Source organism: Homo sapiens, chromosome 16 (genome assembly GCF_000001405.40).
Source record: "Homo sapiens chromosome 16, GRCh38.p14 Primary Assembly".
Taxonomy (NCBI): Eukaryota; Metazoa; Chordata; class Mammalia; order Primates; family Hominidae; genus Homo; species Homo sapiens.
The window spans coordinates 90,048,885-90,056,513 of NC_000016.10; positions in this window are offsets into that span (position 1 = coordinate 90,048,885).

Genomic DNA, 7,629 nt, shown 5'->3' on the forward strand with positions numbered 1-7,629 from the left:
GACTGGCTGTCCTGCTCTGGGATCTGGGAACTTTTTTTTTTTTTGAGACGGAGTCACACTCTGTCGCCTAGGCTGGAGTGCAGTGGCACAATCTCGGCTCACTGCAACCTCCGCCTCCTTGGTTCTAGCGGTGAGTAGCTGGGATTACAAACGCCTGCCACCATGCCCAGCTAATTTTTGTAGTTTTAGTAGAGATGGGGTTTCACTGTGTTGGCCAGGCTGGTCTCGAACTACTAACCTCGTGATCAGCTCGCCTCGGCCTCCCAAAGTGCTGGGATTACAAGCGTGAGCCACCGCGCCTGGCCGGGAACTTCTTTCTTCCTGTCAAGCTGCATTTCCAGTTCTTGGGTGTTCGGCATGGGTGATTTGTAGATTAAGAATTAGGCCATTCAAAGGCAAGGGAGGAGACCCCTCTCAGCAAAGGTTGGGAGTATTCTGGCTACAACTACCTTGGGACTAGTTAGGAAACATCTATTTGGGATCCACACACACGACATTTGTTGTGGCTTCTGTTTATAGGAGATAATCCTAAAGAGAGGCTCACAACTGTTATGGCAAATGCCCATGGGTGCCAGAGGCCAGAGACAACCAGACTGGCCCCAGTGGGGAAAATTCCATAAACGCCAGGGTACTCTGCAGCCCTTTAAAAAGCATGAGGCCCATTTGTGTGTAAGATGAGAATTCTCCTGGAAAAACAACTAGTGACAAAGGACAAAACAGTGTGTAAGAGGGGGGAAGCTTGTAAATTCGTATCTAGCTTTCACTGAATTGCAAGGATTAGCTAATTCAATCCTCATAACAACCTCCTGGTGTATTGTTGTCCCTACCTTACAAAGCAGGAAACTGAGGCACAGGGAGGCCATATATTGGAATATTTCACAATAGGATACACAAAACAGTCATCCCAGTGACCACCTCTCGAGATAAGCAGTTGCAGATGGAGTATATTTATTTTGACTCTTTAACATTTTGTACTCTGAGAAATTCTAGTGGGCTTGTATTACTTTTTCGAAAGTCTCAAATGTTATAAATAAAGTGACAAAGCAATGATCAGTCCTTTTGGGGGTTGCCACGTAACCTCCCCCCTCTCCTGAGACTCTCCCTGCATAGGAGAAGCTAGTGGCCTATGGAGGGAGAATGGCAGACCAAGGGGTTGTCAGAATTCCTCTCCTGGCCTCTTCAGGGTAACCCCCCACCCGTCTTGCTCCCACCTAGACCAAGAGGGACTGCAGGGTCCCCTTTCCCAGGGAAACTGAGACCCTCAGCCATGCCTGACCTCCTGGCATCTGCCCCTTTCTGAAAACCAGGGTCACCACTGGGATGTCATGTGCTCTAGAAACTTCCTTAATGAGATGAGCAGGCTCCACACCCCAGGGCCTTTTTTTTGGAGATAGAGTCTTGCTGGAGTGTAGTGGCATGATCTCGGCTTACTGCAACCTCCGCATCCTGGGCTCAAGCAATTCTCCTGCCTCAGCCTCCTGAGTAGCTGGGATTACAGGTGTGTGGTACCACGCCTGGCTAATTTTTGTATTTTTAGTAGAGACAGAGTTTCACCATGTTGGCCAGGCTGGTCTTGAACTCCTGACCTCAGGTAATCCACCCACCTCGGCCTCCCAAAGTGCTGGGATTACAGGCGTGAGCCACCGCGCCCGGCCGAACACCCCAGGTCCTTTATGGCACCTTCAGGCAAATTTGAAAAAGAAGCATCATCTTCAAGACTCTTATCTTCCAGAAAATTGTCATAATAAATATCCAAGTAGCCTATCTTTGGTTTTTAAATAAGGTATAATAAAATACAAAAACATTTCAAAATTATAAAGATGTCTGCAGTGTGTGGTCTGAGATATCGAGTAAAGACACACTGTACGGCCTGAACAACACTTTTCTGTCTGTAGAGCCAACCTCCTCTCTATGACTCATTGGAACACTTATTTTATTTTGTGGAATGAAGTGTTGCCTGATTCTAGAATTGCAAATGAGGTCAATTGAGATCTTTAAACTGAGTTTGTTGTAGTTTTGTCTTCAAACAGGATTCTGTTCTCCTGCAGAGACTGGGAGATAGAGGCCTCACCCTTCCTGATGATTACCTTTCAAAGGGAGGGCTCTCAGGCCTTGAGAGAGGCCCTTCTGAGTTGCAAGACATATTTACAAACAGTAAGCTTTTTAGTACATGCTCCAAGAAAGGGAGGTTGGGGCCTATCATCAGAAGTTGGCTAGAGCAGAGGTCCCCAAGCGGGCCACATAGTAGGAGGTGAGTGCACGGGCAAGCGAGCAAACGAAGCTTCATCTGTAGCTTCAGCTGCTCCCCATCGGTTGCATTACCTCCTGAGCCCGCCTCCAGTAAGATCAGCAGCAGCATTTGATTCTGATAGGAGCACGAACCCTATTGTGAACCGCGCATGTGAGGGATCTAGGTTGTGTGCTCCTTAATGAGACTCTAAGGCCTGATGATCTGTCACTGTCTCCCAGATGGGACCGTCTAGTTGCAGGAAAACAAGCTCAGGGCTCCCACTGATTCTACATTATGGTGAGTTGTATAATTATTTCATTATATATTACAATGCAATAATAATAGAAACAAAATGCACTATAAATGTGCATTTGAATCATCCCAACCCTCCCCTCAGCCCATCTGTGGAAAAATTGTCTTCCATGAATCCGGTCCCTGGTGCCAAAAAGTTTGGGGACACCTGGGCTGGAGCATGGTAAAATTTCCTTCCTGCACAGAGCTTTTGTTTTAATGGAAGCCGTAAGGGTGGAAGTGCTGCTGGGTCATCCTGGGGGCGCAGCCCTACGCTGCTGGAAGCTATGCTGGAGTACTTCTGACGAGTCTCCTAGTGTGAGGGTTTGGATGAGTTGTCATGTGCTGAGGGTTCTGCAGTTCTCTGTGGGTCCTTGTTCACTTAATTGGCCCCTAATAATTGTTTCTGAGTGCAGAAACTAAATTTAAACTTCATTTCACACATACTGCCTCTAGCCATTTCTCTACTGCCTCATATATTTTGGGGAGTTTCAGCTTGACTGAATCAATCTCAGCTGATCCCTTTTATTCTCATAGGAAAAATCACTCAGGGCACTTCTACATGTGTTCTTTAGGTTCGTCAACTGAAGAATCATGAGGTTTCCCAGATTTGGAAAGGAAAGCTTTATTTCTCATAAAGAGTTGCAGCCTGGTCATTTGGACAGGCTGGAAAGCATAGCCTCTGGCCAGAAGCCAGAAATAGGCTCTTCAAGGGACAGAAGAATAAGATGGGGATTTCACTGGATGGCTTGGCCAAATATACATACCCCCATAAGGTATACGAGAACTCATGAATATGTATGAGAGGAGAAATGTGTGCATTCATGATTGAGCTTCCTGCCTCTCCCTGGGTCCAGTGTTCAAAAAATGGCACTGTTAGCATGACTCAAGGGTGGAGTTTTTGGGCCTCCGACCTCCAAGGTGAAGTAGCGGATGCAACGACCCTCACTATGCATTCTGTGTAGACCGGCCGGAACCACTGCCTGGTCATTCTCTGTAGACCGGCCGCAACCACTGCCTGGTCATTCTCTGTAGACCGGCCGGAACCACTGCCTGGTCATTCTCTGTAGACCGGCCGGAACCACTGCCTGGTGAATCTCTGTAGACCGGCCGGAACCACTGCCTGGTGAATCTCTGTAGACCGGCCGGAACCACTGCCTGGTGAATCTCTGTAGACCGGCCGGAACCACTGCCTGGTGAATCTCTGTAGACCGGCCGGAACCACTGCCTGGTGAATCTCTGTAGACCGGCCGGAACCACTGCCTGGTCATTCTCTGTAGACCGGCCGGAACCACTGCCTGATCATTCTCTGTAGACCGGCCGGAAGCACTGCCTGGTCATTCTCTGTAGACCGGCCGGAACCACTGCCTGGTGAATCTCTGTAGACCGGCCGGAACCACTGCCTGGTGAATCTCTGTAGACCGGCCGGAACCACTGCCTGGTGAATCTCTGTAGACCGGCCGGAACCACTGCCTGGTGAATCTCTGTAGACCGGCCGGAACCACTGCCTGGTGAATCTCTGTAGACCGGCCGGAACCACTGCCTGGTGAATCTCTGTAGACCGGCCGGAACCACTGCCTGGTGAATCTCTGTAGACCGGCCGGAACCACTGCCTGATCATTCTCTGTAGACCGGCCGGAAGCACTGCCTGGTCATTCTCTGTAGACCGGCCGGAACCACTGCTTGGTGAATCTCTGTAGACCGGCCGGAACCACTGCCTGGTGAATCTCTGTAGACTGGCCGGAACCACTGCCTGGTCATTCTCTGTAGACAGGCTAGAACGAATGCCTGGTCATTCTGTGTAGACTGGCTGGAACTACTGCCTGGTCGATGGTCTTTCAGCAGGGAGGAATGCTGGTTAGTTGTGTTGAAACCGCAAAAATGGAAGGGCCATAGTCTGGCACTTGGTTGATGTCAGTGGTGGAGTCTCCCCAAAGGGCTGATTGCTGTTTAGCCCTTTGGGAAGAAAGCCTCATGGTGGTTAGTGAGGAAGGGGGTATAACAAGGTGTGTCTGGGCTCCTGTCCAGTCATGGCTGGGAACTCAGTTTTCAGACTTTCTCTGGAGTGCCCTTGGCAACAAGGGTTTCTGTTCAATGAGTTGTGGGGTTTGTGTGTGTGTTGGCTGGGTGTGATGGCTCACACCTGTAATCCCAGCACTTTGGGAGGCCAAGGCAGGCAGATCAAGAGGTCAAGAGATCGAGACCACCCTGGCCAACATGGTGAAACCCCATCTCTACTAAAAATACAGAAATTAGCTGGCGTGGTGGCATGAACCTGTAGTCCCAGCTACTCAAGAGGCTGAGGCAGGAGAATTGCTTGAACCTGGGAGGCAGAGGTTGCAGTGAGCCAAGGTTGCGCCACTGCACTCCAGCCTGGCAGCAGAGTGAGACTCCATCTCAAAAAAAAAAAAAAAGTGTGTCACCTCCAGCCTCGCTCTCTCTTTTCCTCCTGCTCTGGCCATGTGATGTGTCTGCTCTCCCTTTGTCTTCTACCTTAATTGTAAGTTTTCTGAGGCCTCTCCAGAAGCCAAGCAGAGATGGCAATGCTTCCTGTACAGCCTGCAGAACCATGAGCCAATTAAGCTTCTTTTCTTTATAAATTACCCAGCCTCAAGTATTTCTTTGTAACGATGTGAGAACAGAGTAATACAGAAAATTGGTACCAGGAGTGGGGCATTGCTGTAAAGATACCTGAAAATGTGGAAGTGACTTTGGAACTGGGTAACAGGCAGAGGTTGGAAGACTTTGGAGGGCTCAGAAGAAGAGAGGAAGATGAGAGAATGTTTAGAACTTCCTAGAGACTGGATAAATGGTTGTGACCAAAATGCTGACAGTGATATGTATGGTGACACAGGCTGACAAGGTCTCAGATGGAAATGAGGAAGTTATTGGGACTGGAGCAGAGGTCATTTTTGTTATGCCTTAGCAAAGAACTTGGCAGCACTGTGCTCCTGCCCCAGGGATCTATGGAGGTTTGAGCTTGAGAATGATGATTTAGGGTAACTGGTGGAAGAAATTTCTAAGCAGCAAAGACTTCAAGATGTAGCCTGGCTGCTTCTAACAACCTATGCCCATATGTGTGAGCAAATAAATGAGTTAAAATTGTAACTTATATTTAAAGGAGACACAGAGGGTAAAAGTTTAGAATGTTTGCAGCCCGGCCATGTGGTAGGAAAGAAAAGCCCATTTTTAGGGGAGGGATTCAAGCAAGCTGCATAAATTTGCATAAGTTAAAAGGAGCCACGTGCTAACAGCCAAAACAACGGGGAGAAGGCCTTGAAGGAATTTCAAAGACCTTCAAGGCAGCTCTTCCTATCACAGGCCTGGAGGCTTAGGAGGGCTGAATGGTTTGGGCCAGCCCCAGATCCCTGGCAGCCTCGAGACACTGCTCCCTGCATCCTTGCCACTCCAGCTTCAGCCATGGCTCAAAGGGGCCCAAGTACAGCTCTGGTGGCTGCTTCAGAGGGTGTAAGCCATAAGATTTGGCAGCTTCCATGTGGTGTTAAGCTTGTGGGTGCACAGAGTGCAAGAGTTGAGTCTTGGGAACCTCTGGCTAGATTTCAGAGGATCTATGGAAAAGTCTGGATGTCCAGGAAGGAGCCTGCTGCAGGGGCGGCGCCCTCATGGAGAACCTCTACTAGGGCAGTGGAGAGGAGGGGAAATGTGGGGTTGGAGCCCCAACACAGAGTCCCCACTGGGACACTGCCTATTGGAGCTATGCGAAAGGGGCCACCATCCTCCAGACCCACCAATAGCTTGCACCCTGTACCTGGAAAAGCCTCAGCTTCTCAATGCCAGCCCATGAGAGTGGCTCTGCCCAAGCTTCCCAAGGCCTTGGGAGCCCACCCCTTGCATGCCTGGATGTGGGACATGGAGTCAAAGGAGATTATTTTGGAACTTTAAGATTTAATGACTGCCCTGCTGGGTTTTGGGCTTGTATGAGGCCTGTAGCTCCCTTCTTTTGGGTGATTTCTCCATTTTGAAATGGGAATATTTATCCAGTGTTTGTACTCTCATTGTGTCTTGGAGGTACATAACTTGTTTTTGATTTTACAGGCTCATAGGTGGAAGGGATTTGCCTGTGTCAGATGAGACTTGGAACTTTGAACTTTTGAGTTAATGCTGAAACGAGTTAAGACTTTGAGGGACTGTTGGGAAGGCATGATTGTATTTTGCAATGGGAGACGGACATGAGATCTGGGGGGCAAGGGTTGAAATGATATGGTTTGGATCTGCGTCCCCATCAAGTCTCATGTTGAATTGTAATCCCCGGTGTTGGAGGTGAAGTGTGGTGGGAGGTGATTGAATCATGGGGGTGGATTTCTTATGAATGGTTTAGCACCATCCCCACTTGGTACTGCTTTCATGACAGCGAGTGAGTTTTCATGAGACCTGGTCATTTAGAAGTGTGAGACATCGCCCTCCTCACTCTCTCTTGCTCCTGCTCCCACCATGTGAGATGTCTCCCTCCCCTTTGCCTTCTGCCATAACTGGAAGCTTGCCAAGGCCTTCCTACAAGCAGAAGCCACTATGCTTCCTATACAGCAGAGCCATGAGCCAACTAAACCTCTTTTCTTTATAAATTACCCAGCCTCAGGTGTTTCTCTATAGCAATGTGAAAATGGAATAATACAGAGGGCTTATGATTTTATTTTTACTTCTCAGATTATGTTTTAGTAGAAGAAAAGAGCTAAGTGAGCCTGGTGCGGTGGCTCACACCTGTAATCCCAGCACTTTGGGAGGCTGAGATGGGTGAATCACGAGGTCAGGCATTCGAGACCAGCCTGGCCAACATGGTGAAATGCCATCTCTACTGAAAATACAAAAAATTAGCAGGGTGTGGTGGTGGGTGACTGTAATCCCAGCTACTCTGGAGGCTGAGGCAGGAGAATCACTGAATGTAGGAGACGGAGGTTGCAGTGACCTGAGATCACACCACTGCACTCCAGCCTGGGGAACAGAGTGAGACTCTGTCTCAGAAAAAAAAAAAGAAAAGGAAAGAGAGCTAAGTGTAGCTGTGGCAGGCCAGGTCTCACTAACACCAGCCTCCATTACAACTGTCTCAGCACTGACTGAGTAGTTAGGTTAAATATTAAAAGCTAATTGAA